This window comes from Homo sapiens, unplaced genomic scaffold, assembly GCF_000001405.40.
Source record: "Homo sapiens unplaced genomic scaffold, GRCh38.p14 Primary Assembly HSCHRUN_RANDOM_CTG2".
In the NCBI taxonomy this organism is placed as follows: domain Eukaryota; kingdom Metazoa; phylum Chordata; class Mammalia; order Primates; family Hominidae; genus Homo; species Homo sapiens.
This window is the reverse complement of record NT_167208.1, coordinates 33693-58065: the sequence shown is the minus strand read 5'-3', so window position 1 is coordinate 58065 and position 24373 is coordinate 33693. Positions and strand designations below refer to the sequence as shown.

Below are 24373 nucleotides of genomic sequence, written 5' to 3'. Positions count from 1 at the left end.
GGATGAGACAGGAGGATTTTATTAAAGTGGCCACTGGCCTAGTGGATTCGCATCCAAAAGGCTGAGCTCCGAACAAAGATGGGGCCTGGTTTTTAAGCATGCAGCTGCGTGAAACTCACAGGGCGGGATGGCAAGCTTATAGAAGCAGAACAAAGGCAGTTAATCAAACAGTGACAGGTGTATGACTCAAACATGCCTGGTGACCTCTGCTGGGCTGCCCAGCAGGCTCTCAGTGGATGGTCACTATTTTAGGCTTGCTCAGGCATGTCTTGTGACCTTCTCAGTGTTGCACAGATGGAAAACAGGAACTTACAAAATCCTTACAAACTTACAGAAATAGTTACAAAAATAATTATGAGAGCAGAGCAAAGACATACTGGCCTAGGAAAGAATCTCAAAGGGGGAAGCTGATAAGAAGAACTTATTTTTCTCATCCCCGTTCCTGGAGTCCGTTCCTTCTGTGCTCTGCTTGACCTTGTACATAAAGTTAGCTTAGTCCTAGCAGGGCCTTGGAGTGAGTCAGCCTGGTACAGGCAGGAATTTAGGTTTTTCTCCTTTTAATTTCTGCTTTTGTAAGCCAGGGTTCTGATTGTCACTGCTGAGAAAGTAAAGTGTGTTCAGGCTGTCCATGGTTCTGGGCTCCCTTGGGTCTCTGAGGAGGATTGTCCCCTCCATCACAGAGAATATCAGGACACTAGCCTGTTCCTAGTTATACTTACACACTCTTCTCATGTTGTCTATGGAGTGGAGGCTGCAGGGAGGGTGACATCCTAGTTAGTCCCAAGTGCCAGACTGCCTGAAGCTCACTGTTAACAAGTCCTGCCTTGGAGAAGAAGGAAGGGTGTCTTTGTGAACCTCCCACCTGGGCCAAAGGGAGGCCACTCTCTCCTCTGCTTCTCCCCAACCTTGGTCTTCTGCACTCCTAGTGAACCTCTCACCCCATGCCTACAGGCCTGGAATCTCAAGACCATGATGGCCTCTCATCACCCCTGAATCCAGAGCTTTCCCTTTACAAAGGGAAAACTGAGACCTGGAGCAGGGCTGATGTTCAGCCAGTGCACAAGGGAATAGATGAATTGGTGGTGAAATACTGAAATAGTTCCAGGGTGGATGGAAAGGGGCCGCTGCCCTGAACATCTCTACCCCCCACCTCAGCCCATCCTCCAGGACCCTGGGTCAGCACCAGGAGCATCAAAGTGGCCAGGATTGGCTGAAGCCCATGCTAATGGCTCTGCCAGCTCTTCTCCCCACTAGAGAGGGCAGGGGAATTCAGGCCATCTGGAGGTAGCGCTGTGACCGTGTATGCAGTAGTCAAACCTTGTGTGCCACCATCCCTGACTTTGTTGATAAGGGCATCAGGCTACATCCCTCTGGTACTCAGTGGTAAGCATCTAAAATCTTAAAGAAAAAATTTAAAAAGCTTTCAAAATATAGGAGTTAACATATAAGCCTGCATAAACATCTCTTTAGCAGTTGTCCAACTGGTGCTTCTGGTTCTGCCTCCCCAGAGAGTGGATGACCTGGGCCACCCTCCACCACTGCCCCATAAGGCCATTGGACACGCAGCCCATCAGTTCTCTTCACGTGGTCATCCCCCTTTAGATGGGAGAAAATACACCTGCCTCATTTTTGTACCTTCTGTGTGGACATTCCATGACAGAGCTTCACTAAATGTATGATGAAGAACTGAATGAATGAATGAATGAATGAATGAATATGAGAGCAAATGAATGAATGGCTCAGATCCTGGGCTGGAAGGCTGTGTATGAGGATGGTGGGTAGAGGAGGGTCTGTTTTTCTTGCCTTTAAGTCATTACTTGTCATTTTGGGGCAGGAGCACAGGCTTTGAATGCCGACTGACTGGACTTTAATCCTGGCTTTACTAGCTGTGATTGTGTGACCTCGTACATGTTACTTAAACCCTCTGTGCCTGTTTCTTTATCTGTAAAATGGAGACAATAAGATGACAAAGGACTGTGGTAAGAATTAAATGCTTTAAAAAAATCGCAGTTTGTATTAAGTCCTCAATAGATTGGGTTTAGCATCATGAGTGCATGTGTTTCTGCAGCAATGCTCATCTTGGGCTGGATGGTGCCTACACAGAGAAAGACTCTGGCCTCTTCTCACCCACATGTATCTGTCTTATGCCTGGTTCCCATTCCCAGATCCTTGGAAGATCCATATTGCTGAAATGGTGAAGGGTGATGGGCACCTCAGGACAACTAAGCTGCTCCCCAAACATCTTCCCCCTCCCAAACTCTCCTGTGGTCTTTAGCATTTAACAGGAATCTCTCGACACTCTCAAGGGGTGATCTTCTCATGGAAGACCAGTGGGGAGGAGGCTGCAGGAAAGGTCAGGCACTGTGCACTTACTTCCCTGACAGCTGCAAGTGGTTCTGTTTCCAAGCCCATGGGTCACTATGAATAAGGCAAGTTATATGACATAATAATGTGATTCTTTGGTGCCTCAGTCCACACTGGCACTTTAATACTCCTAGAGTGGATTGCATGGTGGTCTATCAAAAGATATGTCTACCTGGAACTTGTGAATGTGCCTTTATTTGGAAAACAATCTGCAGATGTAATTAAATCCAGCACCTTGAGATGAGGGCATCTCATCTTGGATTAGGATGGGCCCTAAATCCAATGACAAGTATCCTTATAAGAAAAGCGGCAGGTAGGGCACAGTGGCTCAAACATATAATCCCACCACTGAGGAAGGTCAAGTTGGGAGGATCCCTTGAACTCCAGGCGTTCAAGACCTGCCTGGGCAACATGGTAAGACCCTGTCTCTCCAAAATATATATAAAATATAACAGCCAGGCATGATGGCACCTGCCTGTAGTCCCAGCTACCAGCTAATCAGGAGGCTGAGGTGACAGCATACCTTGAATCTGGGAGATTGAGGCTTCAGTGAGCTGTGATCATGACACTGCCCTCCAGCCTGGGTGGCCCCTGGCCCCTCCACAACCTGCGCTAGAAGAGCTGGGCCCTGGCTCTGGGCACCATGCAGCCTCTAAGGTGGGGCTGAGCGCCAGTTCCTGCCCTCCTGCAGCTGGGGACCAATACCCTGACTTAGGCGCTGTGGAGGCTTCTGGCCCAAGGGTCCGCACTGCTGGTGGCACTGGCAGGGTCAGAGTTTGCCACAGCTGCTGCTGCGCGCCTTGTGCAGGTTACCACTGCAGCTGAACCTACAGCAGAAGCAGGCAGGGCTGGTCCCAGACAGCCTGGGGGTCTCTAAGTGCAGGGCCCTTTCACCCTAGAGTCAGCTCTTTCTTGCCGGCACCCATAGCGGGGTGTGCAGGCGCTGGGTACAGGGCAGCAGCCAGGAAATGGCTGAGCGGCCTGTTCCCGCCCTCCTGCAGCTGGGGCCTGACCACCTGAATTAGCCGCTGGGCGAGGTCTGGCCCTGGGATCCGCCTGGCTGGTGTAGGAGCACGGTCTGGGGTTGCCTCCAAGGCTGCTGCGCGCGCCATGTGCAGGCAAGGGTTTCCCAGACAGCCTCAGGGTCATGGAGTGGACCACTGTCCCAGCCTGGAGTCCGCTCTTCCTTTGCCTGCTCCCAGAGTTCCGGGTCGCGGGCACTGGGAACTGTGCCGCCAAGGGGACTGGGCCGAGGGCAAAGGTTTCTGCCCTGCTGCAGCTGCGGGGCTGACTGCCTGAATTAGGCGCTGAGGCGGCGTTGTCCCTGGTGTCCTGGCTCTTGGTGGTGCAGGCAAAGTGCCCGGTTGCTCTGCTGCTGCGGCGCCGTTGTACAGGTGGCAGCTGTAGCTGAGTTCTCAGTAGGGGCCGGCAGGGTTGGTCCTAGAAAGCGTGAGGATCGCCGAGTGCACTGCCCTCCCAGCCTAGGGTCCACTCTTCCTTGGCCCGAGCCCAGAGCTCGGGGTTTCAGGCGCTGGGCCCTGTGCAGCTGCCCAGAATAGGCTGAGCGGCAGGTTCCCGCCCTGGCAAGGGATCCAGCAGTGGAATCCTCACTGCTGTTGGCGGCGGGCAAGGTCAGCGGGGTTTCCATCGCTGCTGGTGGGAGCCACCTGGCGGTGGTAGCTGCAAGTGAGCGCGTGGCAGAGACTGGCAGGGCTGGTCCCAGACACCCTGAGGGTCTCTGGGTGCATCGCCCTACCACCCTAGGGTCTGCTCTTCCTTAGCCTGCTCCCAGGACGCGGTGTACGAGGGCTAGACTCTGAGCAGCCTCCAGGATGGGGCTGAGCAGCGGATTCCTGCCCTGCTGCAGCTACAGTCTGAATTAGGCGCCACCGCAGTATCTGGCCCTGGGGTACGTGCTACTGGGTGGCATGGACAGAGATGGGGGCTGCCACAGCTGCTATGGGGCTGAGCAGCCGATTCTCGCCCTGCTGCAGCGGGCGACCGCTGCAATCCCCAGCGCTATGGGACCGACCACCTGACTTAGATGCCTTGGAGGCATCCGGTCCTGGGGTCTTGCTGCTGGTGTCTGCGGGCAGGGTCACGGCTGCCACTACTACTGCTGTGCGCCATGGGCAGGTGCCAGCTGCAGCTGAGTCCGAGGCAGATGCTGTCAGGGCTGGTCTGAGGTTGCCTAAGGGTGGCTGAGTGCACCACCCTTCCACCCCAGGGTCCGTTATTCCTAGGCCGGCTCCCAGATTGCAGGGTTGTGGGCGTTGGACACTGTGCAGCCATGAGGATCTGGTTGGGTGCAGATTCCCGCCCTCCTGCAGCTGAGAAGCCAATCTCATAACAGGCGCTGCAGTGACCTCTGGCTCTGCGGTCCGCGCTGCTGCTGGAGCTGGCAGAGAACAGAGCTGCCACCGCTGCTGCTTCCAGGAGTGTGCAGCTGGCAGCTGCAGCTGAGCCCGTGGCGGAGGCTGGAAGGCCTTATTCCAGAAGCCTTGAGGGTCCCCGAATGCACCGCCCTCCCACCCTAAGGTCCAGTCTTCCTTGCCCGCGCCCAGAGAGTTGGATTGCAGGCGCTGAGCACAGTGCAGGTGCTGGGATGGGGCTAAGCTGAAAGTTTCCGCCCTCTGGCTGCTGCGGGGCCGACAGCCTGAGTTATGCGCCGCGGCGGCTTTTGGTCATGGGATCCGCACTGCCGGTGGCTTGCACAGGGTCGGGGGCTGCCACAGCTGCTATAGTTCACCGTGTGCACGTGGCAGCCGCCCCTGAGCCCACCGCTGAGGCTGCAGGGCTGGTCCGGTCCCAGACGGCCTGAGGGCCATTTGCCCGCGCCCAGATCCGGGTGGCTGCGCTGGGCACTGTGCAGCCTCCCGGAATCCGCTGAAGGGCACGTTCCCGCTCTCTTACAGCTGTGGGCCGACTGCCTGATTTTGGCCACTAGGTGGAGTCTGGCTCTAGGGTTTCGAGGCCGCTGGTGTTGGTGGGCGGAGTCCGGGTTTGCCACCGCTGCGCTCCATGAGCAGGTAGCAGCTGCAGCGGAGCTTTAGACCGAGGCTGGCAGGGCTGGCCCCAGACGGCCTGAGGGTCAGGGAGTGCAGGGTCCTCCCACCCTAGGTCCGCTCTTCCTTTGCCCTTACCCAGAGCGGGTTGTGCGGGCTCTGGGCTCTGTGCCGGCGCTGGGCTCTGTGCAGCCGCCGAGATGGGGCTGAGCAGCGGATTTCCTCCCTGCTGCAGCTGGAGGACGATTACCTGCACTAGCCGCTGAGGCGGCATCTGGCCCTGGGTTACTGCAGCTGGTGACGCGGGCAGGGTCAGGGTTGGTTGCAGGTGGCAGCTGCTGCTAAACCCATTGCGAGCCTCAGGGTCACCAAGTTCACCGTCCTTTCATCATAGTATCTGATCTTTGGCCCGCGCCCAGAGTGCGGACTGGCCTGCGCTGGGGACTGCATAGCTTCTGGGGGCCGGTCAGCGCCAGTTTCACGTCCTCCTGCAGCTGCGTGGCCTAAGGTCTTAGGCGCCGCGGCGCTATCTGGCCCTGCTGTCGACGCTGCTGGTGGTGGGGACAGGGTCAAGGGTTGCCACTGCTGCTCCCGTGCGCCATCGGCAGGTGGCAGTTGCAGATGAGCCCACAATTGAGGCTGTTGGGGCTGCTCCCAGGTTGTTAGAGGGTCGCCGAGTTCACCGACATGCCACCCTAGGTTACGCTCTTGGCCCGCACCCAGAGCGCCGGGTTACGGGTCCTGGGCCCTGTGCAGCCACGGGGATGGTGCTGAGTGCAGGTTCCCGTCTTCCTGAGATGCGGGGCGACCACTGGAATTAGCCTCTGTGGTGGTATCTGACCCTAGGGTCCGAGCTGCTGGTGGCGTGGGCGGGGTCGAAGTCGCCTCTGTTGCTGCGGCGTGCCATTTGCACCGTCCTCTGGTACAGGCTGGTCTGTGCTGTGCATGGTCAATGTAGTCTTCTCTGGGCATTCTTCACAGATATCTGCTGGCATGGCTCATCTTCTCTTTGATTTTGCATGTATTGTCACCCACTGATGAAGTTTCTGGTCACCTGCCATTTTCCTCTAGCCACCAAGACCTCACATTCTGAGGCCAGCATGTCCCACCAGGGGCCTCCACTGGCCCTGTCAAACCAGTTGTGAGTCCCCCTCCCACCAAGCTTGGAGAGACTGGCTTTTCAGACAGCACTCACAAGCTGAGAGTAAGGGAATTGATCTCTTAGGCACTTCCCCCTGTCCTGCCACTCTGTCATTCCTGGAACACCCTATGTGCACTAGAGAAGTAAGACATCAGCCTGCATATTTTCTCATCTTTCTTTAACTGTCTATTTTTTCCTATCTATCTGTATGAGTGAGTCCCAGGAAGATGTTGGGGCTGAATACCTGATCAGAGACACAGGCAGAGCCATAGTCACATCTCCTGGGAACTTTCTTCTTCCTGTGTAATTAAAAGCTCTTCTCTTCCTCTTGTTCATAGAAATTCCCCTTACACTAAACCTTTGACTGAAACCATCCCCTCAGCTTGATAAAATTTTAGACAGGATTATTTCTGATTCTTGGCTCCTGGCCTCTTTTATTAGCATATTTTAGAAATGTTATCATTGTAAATTCTCTCTCTGCCTCTTTGATATATAAATCTTTTTAAGAGCCCATCTGCCAGTTTTACACTTCAGAAATGTCCATTTCAAGGACCTCAGAGCCATTCCTTTGAAATGTAATCCTCAAGAAAGATAACACCATTATCTCCCAGACTCCATAAGAGAGTAAGAGCCAAATTATGGTGGGCATATTGCTCTGATTTGTAAAATTACCTTCTGTCATAAAGATAAGATAGTTTAATGTTCCTTTGGAAAAAGACAACTGTCAAAAACAAGTGGCCTATGATCACCCCCTCATCCCAGCTCTTAAAATCTCTACTGCTGTTTGTTTCAGTGGAGCTGAGTTCAGACTAAGTTCTGGCCTCTTTGTCCTTTTGCAATAGCCTTCAATAACAGCTTTTTTATGTGTTTAACTTCGTCTGGTGCAATTGTTTTCTTTGACACTTTCCACCCTAACTAGAACTTCCATTAAAGTCATAGTAGGATTCAAGGCAGCCAAACTCGACTCACATACGTAAAAAAACTTCTTAGGATGTAGAAACCCATATTCTCTTCAATAAATTGTTTCTTCAGACCATTGCCTTATTAAAAGTTTCTAGTTCTTATTTTGGCATTGAAAAGCAGAACACCAATTTTTAAATAAGTCTCTGCTCACTTTTAATTTCTGCTATAACAATTTTATTGCTTTCCATGGCTGAACAACGAGAAGACCAGAACACAATTTTAAATTAAATTTTATTTAATTTTTACTATTACAATTTTATTTCTTTCTCTGACTGAAAGAAGAAAACTCGAATAAAGTAGTCTAGTGTATAAAGTGAAGACTAGAACAAAGAATAATGTCTTATTAATACATTTCAGAAAGTTACCTCCATTTAACATCAATGGTGTCATTTAATATTCTTAACTTTCCTATCAAGTAGATGCTATTATTATCTCTATTTTATAGGATATTAAGTCTTATATATTATACATAACCAGCTGAAGGTCATGTAGCATGTAGATATGATAGGAATACAAAGAAACAATGACATTAGAAGCAGAGGAGGGAGAAGGATTACAAGGCTAAACCTAGGTCAGTTAAGAGAAAAAGAAAAACTAGGAGAAGACAAATTCTTGTTAGAAAAAAAAAATGATTGAGGCAGAGCAAGACAGTGGTGCAGACCTCTCCAGCTATCGTACCCCTATAGAAACATCAATATGAACAACTGTCCACATGTGAAATTACCATTACAAGAGCCAACAGAACCTCAATACATGAACAAGGTTATGAAGCACCTTTAGCCTGTGAAGATGGGTGAAACCATGGCTTATGCAGTGAGAGAACCAATACTCTGTGACTGTGATACTCTTCCCTCAGGCCGTTATGGTACCATCTGCAGAAACTCCCACAGGGCTTATAGTTTTTACACTGAAGAAAGTGAGCAGGAGTTTGATATTTGTTTTTTCCACTATATTGAGTTCTTTCACAGTAGCCTCACTCCTGTATCAGCCCACAAGTGGCACCATGAGTGCCAAAAGGGATGAACCACCTGAGGCATGTTAATGACATAAGAGGAGGTGGGGCCAGCAACAGCCACCATGTGAAACATAATACACAGACTCTACAGGCTTGACGGCCTGACTTGTTCTCCCCCATAGCCAGGGGCTCCCTGTGGATCACCCATGGGCCCAGCCAGCAAATGTTGCATCAGTGGAGCCATTGGAAGACTTACGTCTAACATGGGATTTGGGCTCTCTCTAACGTTAAACTGGAATACGATGATAAGTCCACTCAAAATTTCTTAATAGGCCCACTTAAAAGTAGTCACAAGCAAACCCAGACTGAGAAGACTCAAATAAACATCTAATTCATCAATGTGTAGACAGAGATGTATATCTACATATAATAATGATAGCTTAGGAAAAGTTCCCTCTCCAAATGGACAAAACAAGGTGTCAGCAACTGAACTTAAAGACATACAGATGAATGATCTGGCAGGCAAATAATTCAAAATGGCTGTCTTAAGAAGAGCCTGAACACTGAGAAGCAGAGACACAATTCAGAAATTTACCAGAGAAATTCAACAAAGAAATCAAAATAATGGGAAAAATCACATGTAAACCCTGGAGCAGGAAAGTTCAATGAACACATTGAAAATCCAACGGAAGGCATCAACAGAAGGAAGAACTGATCAAGCAGAAGAAAGAAACATTGAGCTCAAACAACAGGCTCTTTGAAAATACATGGTCAGAGTAAAATGAAAAAAAAGAATGAAAAGAAACAAAGAAAGTTTATGAGATTTGTGGGACACCAACAAAAGAGGAAATCTACATATCATTGGTGTTAAAGTGGAACTAAGAATGAAAAAGAGATAGTTTATTCAAAGAAATAACAGAAAACTTTTTAAACCTGGAGAAAGATTAAAATGTTTAGGATGGTCAAAGTGCCCAATCATATTTAATCTGAATAAGACAACCAAAGACATATTATAATTAAACTCTCAAAGGTCAAAGACAAAGAGAAGACCCTGAAAGGACTAAGAAAAAGGAAACAACACATAAGAGAATTCCATTATGCCTGGCAGCAGACTTCTCAGCAGAAGCACTACAGGCCAGGAGAGAGTAGGATAATAGATTCAAGTGCTGAATTAAAAAAACTGTCAACCATGAATAAAGTATCCAGCATAGCTATCATTTAGAAATAAAGGAGAGATTGAAACATTCTCAGACAAACAAAAAGCAAAGGAATTCATTGTAATCAAACAAGCCTTACAAGAAATGCTAAATATTGTTCTTCAAACTGAAAGGAAATGGCAGCAATATGTAGCACAAAAAATCTGAAGGTATAAACCCACAGATAGAAGTGAGGATTCAGACAAATTTGGAATGCTCTAATACGGTAATAATTGGATGTAAACCACTTATATATCCTTAGTAGGAAGGTTAAAATACAATACAAATAAAATAATAATTACAATAATTTGTTAAGGAATAGAAATATACAAAGATGTAAATTAAGACATCAAAAATGCAAAATGTGAGGGAGTGATGAAGTTAAAGAGTAGAGTGGTTTCTTTTCCCCTTTTTTTGAATCAAAATTAAGTTGCTATCTCTTTAAAATAACTTACTGTAACCATAAAATGTTCTTTGCATGCCTTGTGGTAACCACAAAGCAAAAACTTTTAATAGATACTTTAAAAATTAAAAAAAAAGAAACCGAAACACACTGATAGAGTAAATCACTTAATCACAAAGGAAGATAGTGAAATCAATCAATCAATCAAAGTATAAATTTTTAAAAAACATGAAAACAAGTAATAATATGGCAGGACCAAGTCCTTGCCTATGAATAATTATCTTGTATGTAAATGGATTATCCCATTTAAGACATATAATGGCTACACTGATTAAAAACAAGACCTAACTATAAACTTTCTACAGGAAATTCACTTCATCTGTAAATACACACATAAATTGAAAGTGATCAGATGGAAAAATATATTTCATAAATATGGAAACCAAAAGAAAGCCGGTATAGATATATTTATATCAGATAACATATACTTCAAGCAAAATCCTATAAAAACAGACAAATATGGCCATTATATAATGATAAAGGGGTCAATATCACAAGATAATATAATTGTAAATATATATGCCCTCTATATTGAAGCCCCTAAATATATAAACCAAACATTAATAGATCTAACAGGAGAAACAGCAAGCAATAAAATAATAGTAAGAAATCTAAACATTCCACTTTCAGCAATAAACAGATTATCAAGACAGAAGATCAACAAAGAAACATCATATTTAAAATGAACTCTAGACCAAATAATTTAGTAGTCATTTACAGAACATGTTATCCAACAATTGCATAATTCACAGTCTTCTCTACTGCGCATGGAACATTTTCCATGATGGATCATATATTAGGCACAAAATGAGCCTTAGCAAATTCAAAAAAGATCAAAATTATATCACGTCTTTTCTGACAATATAGAATAAAACTAGAAATAAACAACAAGAACTTCAGAAATTGTGCAAATACATACAAATTAAACAATGTGTCCTTAAACAATGGGTTAAAAAATAAATTTTGTTTCATTTTAAAATTTCTTAAGACAAATGAAAATGAAATCAGAACATATAAAAACTTAAGAAATACAGCAAAAAAAGTCCTCAGAGGGAAGTTTGCAGAAATACATTTCTATATGAAAAAAAGAAAACTCTCATTAATAACTTAAGAATGTATTTCAAGGAATCATAGAAACATGAACAAACTAAGCCCCAAATTGGTAAAAAAGAATACAAATAATAAAGAATAGAGCACAAATAAACAAAATGGAGACAAAAATATGAAAGATCAATGAAATGAAAAGTTATTTTTTGAAAAGATAAACACAATCGATATGTATTTAGTCAGATTAAGAAAAAGAGAAGATTCACATAAATAAAATCAGATGAAAAAAGACATTGAAATGGTTACTACAGAAATACAAAGAATCATGAGAAAGTACTACAATTATATGCCAATAAATTAGAAAACATAGAAGAAATAAATAAGTTTCTGAACACATATAACCTATCAAAATTGAAGAATGAAGAAACACAAAATGCAAACAGACCAATAACAAATAATGAGATTGAAGCATTGTCTCTCAATACAAGAAAATCTGGAGGGCCTGTCACAGTATCTCACACATGTAAACTCACACTTTGGAGGCCATGGCAAGAGGATTACTTGAAGCCAGAAGTTCCAGATTAGCCTGGGGAACATAGTGAGACCCAGTCTTTACAAAAATAAAAATAAAAATTAGCCAGGTGTAGTGGTGTGCACTTGCAGTCCTAACAACGGGAGGCTGAGGCAGGAGGATCACTGAAGTCCAGGAATTTGAGGCTGCAGTGAGCTATGATTGCACCACTGCACTCCAGCCTGAGTGACAGAGGAAGACCCTGTCTCTAAACCAAAAATATTTAATAAGAAGAAGAAGAAGAAAGAAAGAACAAAAGAAAGAAAGAGAAAGAAAGAAAGAAAGAGAAAGAAAGAAAGAAAGAAAGAAAGAAAGAAAGAAAGAAAGAAAGAAAAAGAGAGAAAGAAAGAAAGAAAAAGAAAGAAAGAAAAGAAAAGAAAAGTAAAGTTCAGGATCCGATGCTTACACTGCTGAATTCTTCAAAACATTTAAAGAGGAACTTATAGTAATTATTTACAAATTATTACAAAAAAAGTGAAAAGGAGGAAACTCTTCCAAACTCATTCTATGAAGACACAATTACCATATTCCAAAATGAGACAAGAACAGTAAAAAACTAAACTACAGGCCAATATCACTGATGAACATGAATGCAACAATTCAAAACCAGCAATGCTAGCAATCATAATTTGGAAGTGCATTAAAAAGATGATTCACCATAATCAGGTTGTATTTGTTCCAGGGAGGCAAGGAGGGCTTATGATATGTCAATCAATAAATGTGATACACCACATTTGATAAGGGAAGATAAAAAAATAGTCATTTAAATAGATACAGAAAAAGTATTTGACAAAATTCAATGTTTTTTGTAAACATAAGATCTCTTAACAAATTAGTTATAAAAAGAACATAGCTCCATAAAATAAAGGCCATATATGATAACCCACAGCCAACATGATACTGAATAAGGAAAAATTGAAAACTGTGTCTCTAAGGTCTAGAACAAGACAAGGATGTTCACTTTAATAACTTCTCTTCAACATAGCACTGGAAGTCCTAGCCAGAGCAATTAGGCCAGCAAAAGAAAAGACATCCAAATTGAAAAACAAAAATAAAGTCAAATTGTCCCTGTTTGCAGATGACATGATCTTATGTATAAAAAACCCTAAATACTCTACTGAAAAAACAGAAATAGTAAATGAATACAGTAAAGTTTTAGAATACAAAATCAGCATAGAAAAATCAGTCGCATTTCTATACCCAACAGCATACCATCTGAAAAAGGAATCAAGAAACCAATCCCATTTAAAATAGCTATAAAAAAATGCCTGGGAATAAACTAAGCCAAATAAATATGTCTAAAATGAAAACTATAAAACATTGATAAAAATCAATTGAAAAAGATACAAATAAAGGGAAAGTTATCCCATTTTTATGAATTAGAAGTATTAATACTGTTAAAATGACCATCATACTCAAATCAGTCTATAGGTCCAATACAATCTCTAACAAATTTCCAATGTAATTCTTCAGAGATGTTAAAAAAGGTTTTAAAAATCGTTCTGCGGATGTTAAAAGGATTTTTAAAACGCTTTTTTCGTTCTGCAGGCGAAGGCTGTGGCCGTGCTCCCGCCGGCCAGTTCCCAGCAGCAGCGCATTGCCCCTGCTCCACGCCTTCGCTCCAGGCCCGCAGGGGCGCAGCCCCGCGGGAATCAGCACTGAGCCGGTCCCGCCGCCGCCCCAGTGTCCGGGCTGCGACTGCGGGGAGCCGATCGCCCAGCGATTGGAGGTGGGCGACGAGGCCTTCCGCCAGAGCGAGTACCAGAAAGCAGCCGGGCTCTTCCGCTCCACGCTGGCCCGGCTGGCGCAGCCCGACCGCGGTCAGTGCCTGAGGCTGGGGAACGCGCTGGCCCGCGCTGACCGCCTCCCGGTGGCCCTGGGCGCGTTCTGTGTCGCCCTGCGGCTCGAGGCGCTGCGGCCGGAGGAGCTGGGAGAGCTGGCAGAGCTGGCGGGCGGCCTGGTGTGCCCCGGCCTGCGCGAACGGCCACTGTTCACGGGGAAGCCGGGCGGCGAGCTTGAGGCGCCAGGCTAGGGAGGGCCGGCCCTGGAGCCCGGCGCGCCCCGCGACCTGCTCGGCTGCCCGCGGCTGCTGCACAAGCCGGTGACACTGCCCTGCGGGCTCACGGTCTGCAAGCGCTGCGTGGAGCCGGGGCCGAGCGGCCACAGGCGCTGCGCGTGAACGTGGTGCTGAGCCGCAAGCTGGAGAGGTGCTTCCCGGCCAAGTGCCCGCTGCTCAGGCTGGAGGGTCAGGCGCGGAGCCTGCAGCGCCAGCAGCAGCCCGAGGCCGCGCTGCTCAGGTGCGACCAGGCCCTGTAGCTGTGACTTGGCTGTGGGGCTGGCCCGCCTCCCTGACCCCTGTCAGGCGGAGCAGCTGGAGCTGACCCACGGGCCTGGGCTTTCGAGCGCTTTGTCCAGGCGCTAATGATGGGAAGGTGAAAGGTGGGGGTGGCCACACCCTGCAGTCAGGGTGGCAGGTGTCAGAGGCCACATGCAACCCACTGGTTTTGTCTTTTCCAGGATGCTGATAAGTTTCCCGCGGCCCCCGGAGCAGCTCTGTAAGGCCCTGTAATTGCCTTTCGTTCCCTTCTGCTCTATTGAGGAGTGGGAAGATGACAAAGTGTTTTTGCTCAACCCGAAGGAAAATGCACATGGGAGGACACACCGGGTTACTATTTGAGTAGCCCAGACAGGAGAGCAGCGGTCTGCTTCAGCCATGAGACCACCTCAGGCGAAAATAGACTTGTGGTTGTTTTACTTCTTTTCACCAAATGGGTCTTTTTGGGGTTTGTGGTGTGTCCCATGTAACGATGATCTCTTGGTTCCCCTTTCTCATTCACACCCGGGAGCTGAGGTGGGGGGTGGGGGGCAGGGAGTGGCCACCTGCGCCAGGTGTGAGAGAAGCCACACCTGAGACCAGCCCCTCTGTCCTCCTGCCTCTGCATCGAGCGTCCCTGCAGGAGGCAGAAGGGGTGAAAAGTAGCCTCGATATTAAAGTGCTTGTGTGTCCCTGAGGGGGTAAGCAAGTCACAGTCGGGACACTGGTTCCTGTCATCAGGTGTAGCACAAAGAAGGACCCCAGGACATGGGGTGCAGAAGGGAGCACAGAGAGGGTGGGTGCTACTGGGGTGCACAGGCAGCTTGAGGAGGATGCAGATGGCAAACTTCCCTTTGTCACGCCAGGTGCATGTTTAGGGCCGGAGGACCACCAGATCCCCAAAGCCTCCGGTGCTTCTGAGGCAGAGGAGAGGCAAGGCCAGTGGCTACCGGTGTCCAGGGACCTGGCAGCCACCACTGAGGCCTATCTGCTTGTCCCTCAGCCCACTGGCGGCCACACTCCAGGTCTCTGGGCTCTGCCTAGGACGTGTGTTTGGGCTTCTCTCCCGAGCAGAAATCATCTGCGTACCCTCTGCATCCCATGGATTTGCTTTGTTTCTGAGGGAATAATTAAGGAATGTTAGTATGACATCCGAAAATAGCTAATTATGGTGAAGAGCTAACAGGGCGATCTGGGAAGTTGTGGAGCTCTAGTTAGTGATGACAGAAGAGGAACATATTTGACTGTTTTGTGCTACACCCAGGTTCTCAGGAGGTGGCAAGGGAGGAGACTTGGCACTGTGCCATGCTCAGAGCCCCTGGTCCCAGGGACTCTGTTTCCCTGTGGGAGTTTGGATGAGAGACAGTTGGCTGGGAAGCTCAGGGTGGAGTGAGGAAGAACAAGTTGAGGTTCTTGGGTTGGAAAGATCTAGTACCCCAGGAGGGGCTGGATGTGGCCTGCGCCCACCCCAAACTCACACACTCTGTCATGCTCACACAGACACACACACTCACACACACTCATAGGCCCAAGCTCACACACCACACTTACATGGCTTATTCACACACTTACACACATTAACACACATACGCACTCATATTTACACATCCACACGCAGTTATATTCCACATACACACTCATACTCCCAAGTTCAAACACCATTATTTCTTCACAAACATTCACACAATAACTCACATACACACTCTCACACATGTACACACTCACCCACACACTCTCCATTACACACATTTACCTGTCTGTTCTCACACACATGCACAAACACAAAGCCAAATTAGAGCCATTTTCCTGGTCCCACACAAAGAAAACTGATACCTCAGTTTCTTGGTCTTGACCAGAACTGGGTGCATGATTCCATCCAACCACAAGGTGGGGTGGGAATGAAATCCTATCACGTCCTCAGGCCGTGGAGAAAAAAAAAAAAAACTATGTCAGGCCTCTCTAATGCCTCCCACAAATGAGCAGGAGGGATTGAAACAGAAAAGGGGTTCCTCCTGACATGTGGCATTGATGGAGCCCGGTTCTGCCTCATGCCAAGCCCTGCCTTGCCCCTCGATGATGGAAAATGGTTGTGTGTCTTGTTTCCTGGCCCCCATCTCTGTCTCGGTACAGAGTAGAGATTTGAGTCTCAGTTTCAAAGACAGGAGTCCCACTAAGCTGACCCACCCACTGACAGATGAAATCTTGCCATCTGCTGACCAAGTTCCCCAAGGCCCCTTGAGACTCAATTTCTGAAGAGGGTCTGCTCAGAATTCCCCGTCCCCATGATCTGCCCGGCTGTCGGGACACTGGTGAGCCTGCTCAGTGGGGAGTCCCTTTTCAGCTCAGTCAGCAAGCGGCTCTTCTCTATAAAGAGGCAGGGGATGAACCTCCTCTCTAGTTTTAGCAGCAGAGGCCATGGGACCCATGGCAGAGGCCAGAGCTGTGCAGGCTGTAGGAGGTACCATGTCAGGGATTTCAAACGGAGGAAGGTACTTTCCAGAGAGTACTGCAGGGAACCAAGCCATATCCACCGTAGCTGCAATAAAGCCTCTGAGGCTCAGCTTAAACTCAATCTTAGAAATGAAGTCCCAGCACAAGCTTTGCAGGATAAGCAAAATCTAGAGAAGAGAAAATGCAGACCCAGTCAATGATAAATATAAGTCATCTGGACCAGCACAGAGCAGATACAGTGCCTTCTCCACATGCAGTGAATGAGGTTCTCACGTCTGTTAGTGTGTGGAATTGAACATCAGTATCAGAATCATTCTGTGTTACCTACAGCTGGTTTTATGTTGTTATGCCTGTCACCTGATGAATGTGTATCTTTAGCCAACCCTTTCACCCCAAAGCTCCTGCCCCAACCCCTCCTCCTGGAAGTGCCCATCGCTGGTCTCGGCAGGAGGCTGTTCTTCCCAGCCTGTGGGGTGGCCACCTTGCAGGCTGTAACCCTCTACAAGAAATAAAGTCTTCTCTCCTTTTCCAAATTTCGATATTCACTTAATCCTTAGCTTCTATTTTTCAAGATTTTAAACTGCTTTTAGGTCATGGCCTCTTCTCTGTAGGGTCTGGAGGCTGAGAGATGTTCAGCAGGAAAGAGCTGCTAACTGATTCCAGTAGCACTGCTCTTCTGCCTAACGGAGGTGTTTAAATGTTGATTTTGGCAAAATCTATGAGCAGGTTGCTCCCCATCTCCCGAGATCTCTCACAATACTTTGTAAAACCCAATTTAGCGCATCGTCTGTGAGAGCAGCTTTTACTGGTTCTGCAGCGATCTTCCTTACTCATAATCTATTGAAATATTGTAAAGCGATGCAGATTTGTGGCATGTGAGGAGAGCATGTAGACACACACTCCGCTGTGATTCAAAGTGCCCTAACACCTTCCTCTTCCCTACAGGCTGTGATAGGAGGGTGCTCTGGGTCACTGAAGAAGGGGAGTCATAAAGGAGCAGAGGCCCCACGTCGTGAGTGCCATCTCTCCTTGAGTGTGGCCTCTTGTTCTAGCCCACAGGCCCACCATGGTCTGACTAAATGCTGGCACTGCTCATACATCCACTTTTAAAAATTGAGTTGAACATGAGAACATGATCATTCATATTTTATCCATTTGCATGTATTCAATAACATCCTTTCCCTGTTCTCATCTCTGCTTTACTGCCTTTTTGTTTAAAGAATGAATGTTTCCATGTTTTATATCCACAGAATTTCTGGCTTTTCCCTTTGGAGTCCAAGGAGCAAGGGCAGAATGAGGAACAGGATGTTTCTTACAGACTCATGAGGCCGCAGCACAGAAACTGCAAGAAATGTCAGTCATAAAGTGTCCCAGTGCATTTTAAATTGATGATTATTAAAATCCTTCTTTATCTATAGGGGATCTAAAAAATTAAACAACTCATAATTTAAACACGGTTGCCAGGTAGCCTGAGTCAAAAATCAGGAGAGGCTCTGTGGTCTGAAGTCTCCTATTGCTCACCTTGATGAGGGTCTAGTTGCCTAATGGGTTGGTGTAATGATGTCATTCGACACAAGCAAAACACAACTCCCTTGGAGTTGTTCAAAAAATCAGGAAATAGAAAAAAAATAAGGGAGAATAAAATATTGACAGGAGAGAAAAATGAAGAGTTACTTGGAGATTTGAAGGAGGTGAAATGGGCAAAAAGTAAATTTAGCAACTAGAATTTAAAGTCAGTGGATAATTAAGTCGAATAATTTATTCTTATGTCCATGTACTTTGGTTTTAAAGTTTTGATTAATACTCATTCAACACTAATTTCTAACAAATTAGAATATTTCCACATTGTCTATTTTTACCAGTGAGCTTGTAATAAAGATCCGCTAGTAATTTTAGTACATCATAACCTTTCAAAAGAAGCCCATAGAATAAACTAATTTTTAAAGAGTCACATTTTATTCAATGTCTATTTATACATGTTACTAGCAATAAACTCTTTTATCTTTAATTTTGAGAAGCTTTACAAATACAGAAAAGTAGAATGACTAATACTCCCGGTAGCCAGGACTCAGATTGGAAAAATAGGTCTAATCGGTTGTTACACTGTGTTTATGTCATACATTTCACTTATTTTTATCAAATAAAAATTAGAATTTATAAAATGTTGATTAAAAGGAAAACAGTAAAGTTTAGTCCCATGTTTCTTCCTCCAAATCTCTTTGTTCTACATTAACAGGTCAGGAGAAGTATGGATGGGGAGGCTGGAAAAGGGGCATCCTTCCCCATGCGGTCCCCAGAGCCACCTTCTCCAAGCAGGACTTGGGGAACATCCTCCTCCATCCAGGACCTAAGGGGTGTCCTTTTCTGTGCTTCCTTGGATGGCAGCCTTTCCTGTGCAGTCATTCAGAAAGTCAGGCTGACACATGTTGTCGTCTTGAACTCTGGGTGAATCCCTTCATGTTTATAGTGATTTACCATTAAATCACTGTGCCGTTTTTTCCTAAAATATATGGGGCGTGTTTTTTGTTCTGAGTTATCTTAGTCCTTTGGTCGCTAGCTCCAGTTTTTTGTAATTTCTTTTGCAACCTAATATGTGTCCCATTTGGTAAGTATTACATATACTAGAAAGTGACGTATATTCAGCATTTGTTGTGATTTTAAAACCTTTTATAAACACGTAACATCTTTGTCTATTTCCCGTTTAAATTCAGAAGTATGGGTTCCAGCGTCCCTCTCTAGACCTGCTCTATCCTGTTAGTTTCTTTGTATGTCCTGGAGGCGAGGCCAGCATTGGACTTGACGTTGCTTCACCTACTCGGTTCTATTGTCCATCCATGTGCAGTGTCTATCCTGTTGTTTATTATTTCTTCCTTAAATTTTATTTGAACTAAATTAATTTTGTGATAGCAGCTTGCTTTCTGTGAATATTTACTTAAAATTTTTATAAAATTTTTATTTTTTTATTTCTTTAATTTGAAAGTGCTGCTTTGTTATTGATAATTTTGTATTTTAATATATGAGGTTAATCCCTCTATGTTTGGTAGGAAAAAGTGATATATTTGAACTTATTTCTATCATTTGATTTTGGATTTTGTATTTGCAAAGCTTTATCCTCAATTCTCTTTTCCTTTTTTCAGATTTCTTTTCTTTTCTCTTTTTTTGGGGGGACAGAGTTTTGCTCTTATTGCCCAGGCTGGAGTGCAATGGGGAGATCTCAGCTCACCACAACCTCCGCCTCTTGGGTTCAAGCAATTCTTCTGCCACAGCCTCCAAGTAACTGGGATTACAGGAATGGACCACCATACCCGGCTAATTTTGTATTTTTAGTACAGACAGAGTTTCTCCATGTTGGTCAGGATGGTCTCGAACTCCCGACCTCAGGTGATCCACCCACCTTGGCCTCCCAAAGTGCTGGGATTACAGGCATGAGCCACCACGCCCGGACTTCCAGATTTATTTTCCATCAACATTTCATTTTCCACTTCCTTCCTATGCTGGCTTGCAGGCTTTCCAGGCTATTTACCTTTATTTAGTGTCAAAAATTCTTTTGGGAACTTTTGAGTTGTCAACCAATAGTTGTAAGCATATTGGATATTGCTGTTTTTCTCCTGGTGCTCTGGTTATAATCTCTCCTATTAATACCTGTAGTCTTATTGTTGTAGTTATTTTTTCTATTGATTTCTGAGATATAATAATTAGAATTGTCATATTGTGGATTTATGCATTTATCCTTTTAATTCAATAACTTTTGCTTCATGTATTTTGCTGTGTTTCTTAGGTGCATGCATGCTTATGCTTATTAGGTTTTCTAAGCAAATGGGCTTATTGGTATAAAACATCCTTCTTTATCCCTGGTGATACTTGCCTTTCTTGCAGTGTGTCTTACCTGCCATTAATACACTGGCTGCAGTTTTTGATAAAAAAGATTGCATAGTGTATATTTGTCCATCTTTTCAGTTCGAATCTATTTATATCTTTATCTCATAAGTGTATTTCTTTTTAAAAGTGGATATTGAGGTTTCCTTTTTACCTACTTTGACAGTCTGTGTTCCGCCTTCCTGATCTTCTTCTGGATTATTGCAGTTTTGGTTTGTTTGTTTGTTTTATGGGGTTTTCTTTTTTTTTTTAGTATGGATTTTGTACCCTGTTTTTTTTTTTTTAACTATGACTTTGTTTCATTTATTTATTTTTGGTGAGTTGTTCAGAAATTAAAATATAAATACTTAATGTATATTAAATATCATAACACTGTATATAAAATATAAAAACCTTACCTTACCATCCTCTCATCTTTTGTGCCATGTTGTCATAGATTTTTCTTCTGTACGTGTTGTAATTCCTGGAGGATGTCATCCAAACAGTAATTTCCCCTCCACATATTTACTATTTTTGGCACATTTTCATCTTTTCTGTGAACTAGAATTTCCAATTATTATTTTTCTTCATCCTGATCAAGTTTCTTTTGCATTTATCGTGGTTTGGGTTCGATGGCAACACAGTCTCACAGACTTTCTTTAACTGAAAATGTACTTTTCTCAACTTCAGTTCTGAAGGCTGCTTCAGCAGGTTCAGAATTCTAGGGACACTTTTGACTTTGAACAGCATCTCTGGGTACCATCTAACATATTATTATATCCAGTTGTGTCAAATCTGTCATCGGCCATAGAACCCTTTGACAGGTGCTTCTTGTTGCTTCAGTTCTAAGTATTTCATAGTCTTCAGAGACATGGAGAAGTAGCAGTGCTAGTAACAGTACTAGTGAAACCAGGTTAAGCCCTAAAATAATTAAGAAGCCATTGCATGCACACACGTGAACGTTTGACTTCAGCTAAAATGCTTTCAAATGTACTATTTTATCTTTATACAAGGCCATAACACAAATTACAATTTTAAAAATACTTTCACTTTACATATGTGAAAACTGCAGCTCAAAGAATTTAAAAGACAAGATTGAAATCCCATGAGTAGGTAAAGATGGTCAAGTCTGGAGCCCGCATGTCTTGGTGCCCCCCACACCCTGTTACAGAGAGTGCGAGGCTTCACCAGAAAGCTCTTTCGGCTCAAGGATTAGCTCTGGGGAAGTGCAGCAGGCAGGCCTGCTTTGCAACCTTTTTTCCAGCAGAAATCCAATGTTTGTTCACGTTTCTAGTTCTTTTAGTTTTGTTTTGTTTCTTACCAGTATGGCTCTGGGAGTTATTTACAAAATTTAATTTTAAAAGAGACACTCCCCATCATTAGGGTTCCTTGGAAACTTATAAAAAAATAAATAAATACTGGTAGATGAGAAACTTCTGCAAAATTGTTAGTTATATGTGTAATACATCTAATTGTAACTAAAGAAATGTGTATTACGGTAATAATTTAATTTATTATTGTCATTTTCTTGCCAGATTTGAGGGCATTTTTTTAAGCTCTCCACATGTGGTTTACTGTGGACCAAACACTGGCAGCTTCAGGCTTACAATCTGCTGACAAATCCTTCTTAGTTCGTTCACTTTGAAGAATGTGAGCATGCACTGCTCATGTGCGTGGCAAGCATGCAACCTGATCAGGAGAAGGACAGTGGCCACTCACGTCATCAGGTGAACTTGTGACGAGGCCATCAAGAGGCTGCACATGTGCTCCAGAAAATGAAATTCCCACTATCAACCTATTTTCCATTTCCACCCAATGGCCCACCCCTGCTCCAAAGCCGTGTCTCCACCTCTTAGGAATGCTTGATTTTCAGTATTGCTGAACAGGGGTCAAAGAAAACAAACTGAACAAAGAAACAAATAAAGCCTTTAACCCGGGAGCAAAGACACAGCACCTCCCCACTCCGCAACAGCTCCAGAGCTGCACAGCTGCTGCCAGAGCCTGAGCACAGGCCTGAACTCTGGCCCATGGATCTCACCAATGCATTTCTTCCCTCTGTGCCAAAAAAAGTATCGATAAATGGGATTCATTTACTTGGGACATAAAATAATGTATACCTATAGTTTTCTCCCAGAACTGTGTAAACCGGCATGCTGTCTGCCACAATACAGTCCTCACCCTGCATCAGGAGCTCAGATGGGGGAAGCCAGCAGGGCTGGATGCCTGAGAGTCACAGGTGCTTGGAGGGGAGAGAAAAGCACCACGGAGAGCCAGGCCCTGCCTACAAGTCACATTTCTAGGGGTCTAATGGTCTGGGCAGGCTGGGAGATGCTCTCTAAAGGAAAGGCAAGAAATATTGCCCCACGTCTCCCACCACCAAACAGAAAGTGCAGGTGGTCAGCCCCAGGGCTCACCTGCCCTTTGCCAGGGTCATGAGTCAGGCCCAGGCTGCGCCCTCCACACAATCCTCAAGGAGAGTTCCTGCCAGGCTGGGACAACTGCACTGGGACCTGATGCCCTGGGAAGGACAGGGTTGCATTTAACAGAAACAGCTAAACCTGAAGGGATGAGTTTGCCTTTCCCCGGGGCCATGGGATGGTTTATAGAAAGTTCTACCCATCAGGACAAGACCTCACATGACACCATCAGAGGAACTGATTTCACGCCACAGAGGGAGGAAGAGGGCACATGCCATAGGTCCACTGGTCACAGCACACACATGCTCCTGGGAGCTTCAGACCCAGCAGTGTGGCACAGGTGCCAGGTCAGGATGTGGGAGGACACAGTGTCTGCATGAATCTGTCACCTTTGTTAGCTGCCTTGTCCCACCAGGTAGAAGATGTGGCAATTGGAGCACAGCAGTAGGAAGCCCAGTGTCCCCCAACCTTCCACATCATACCCAGGACCTCTGAGGTGCATCTATATCCTGCACATCTAGGCTCTGAAAAGCAGGAGGTCCTGGTTTCCACAGCTGTGGGGCTTCTAGCCAGGGCAGGGCCAGGTTCTCTGAAAAAAACAAGCTCTGGGTGCTGCTTTGTCCTCAGGCTGCTCCTCCATGGGACCTGCGGGCAGAAAAATGGGTACCACCTGGACCATGGTGTCAGCAGGAGCAGGGCTGCGCTGCCTGGGAAGAAAGGGCTCCACGCAAGTACCTCCTGGTACACAGCACTTGATGGCATGTGGACAAGTGCGGGAGCCCTAGACCAAGGACTCTGTGGTGGGCAAGGCTGAGGGCCCCTTAGGGGTGAGGGCCTGGGTTACACCACCAGGGGGTCACCAGGACCCTCAGCAGAAGGTGGAGGGGGTGGTGATCATTACCTGTGCAACCCTGAGATGGGTGGCAGCCACAGAACCTAGGGTTCATTGAACCCCCCTTTTGTAACTAGTGCCCAGGAAAAGGCCTAGAATTTAATAAAGACAAGGCCCCTGTCAGTGGAGTGCTGGATGGGGCGCACCCCCTGGGGCACACCTGAACCTCCCCCAGGGCCTTGGCTGTGAGCTTTGATTGTAGACACACCTATGCCACGGCCCCTTCAGACTGCTCCCTTCACCTCTGAAAAACCAAACAGGATGCTTCTGTTCCTGGAAACGTGAATGCCCTTCGTGTGTTTTTTACTTTGACTAGAAACTCATCTGCAGCTGAAATATATGCAGAGACCTCGTGTGCTCCCAAGATTTCCAGGCATCTCTGAGAGTTTGCTTTTCAGTTCCCAGAAGGTGTGAGAGCTCCAAAGCATGTGCTGCTGGTTTCTCAACTTAGTGTATTTTAGCTCCCTGTGGACAGCATGTTTCTAGCCCCCTTGCACACGCTTGGATCGGATTTTTGAAAAAGCCAAGGGTGGGAGGCAGAATGATGTGGAATGGGCAGAAACTATGACTAAAGGCTGGCCTCATCCCAGGAGGAGATAGAATGCATTAGCCCAGTGACAGTGCCAGGGAACCCATGCGGCAGCCTAGGGAAGGTCATGGAATGGAGCTGGGGTTTTGGCTGTCACCATCCCAGGGTTAGACTCAGCCAGGTGAACAGCTGATTCTCCTCCACAGAACC

At 45.9% G+C, this 24373-nt stretch overlaps 1 long non-coding RNA gene across 1 annotated transcript; it reads left to right on the top strand.

The window, feature by feature from the left end:
- The first annotated feature begins 14384 nt into the window (after nt 1–14384).
- On the top strand, nt 14385–22436 carry LOC107987359 (uncharacterized). Its single transcript, XR_001756104.1, has 3 exons — nt 14385–14450; nt 17721–17823; nt 21861–22436. It is a non-coding gene; the product is annotated as an uncharacterized LOC107987359 (long non-coding RNA).
- The last annotated feature ends 1937 nt before the right edge of the window (nt 22437–24373 follow it).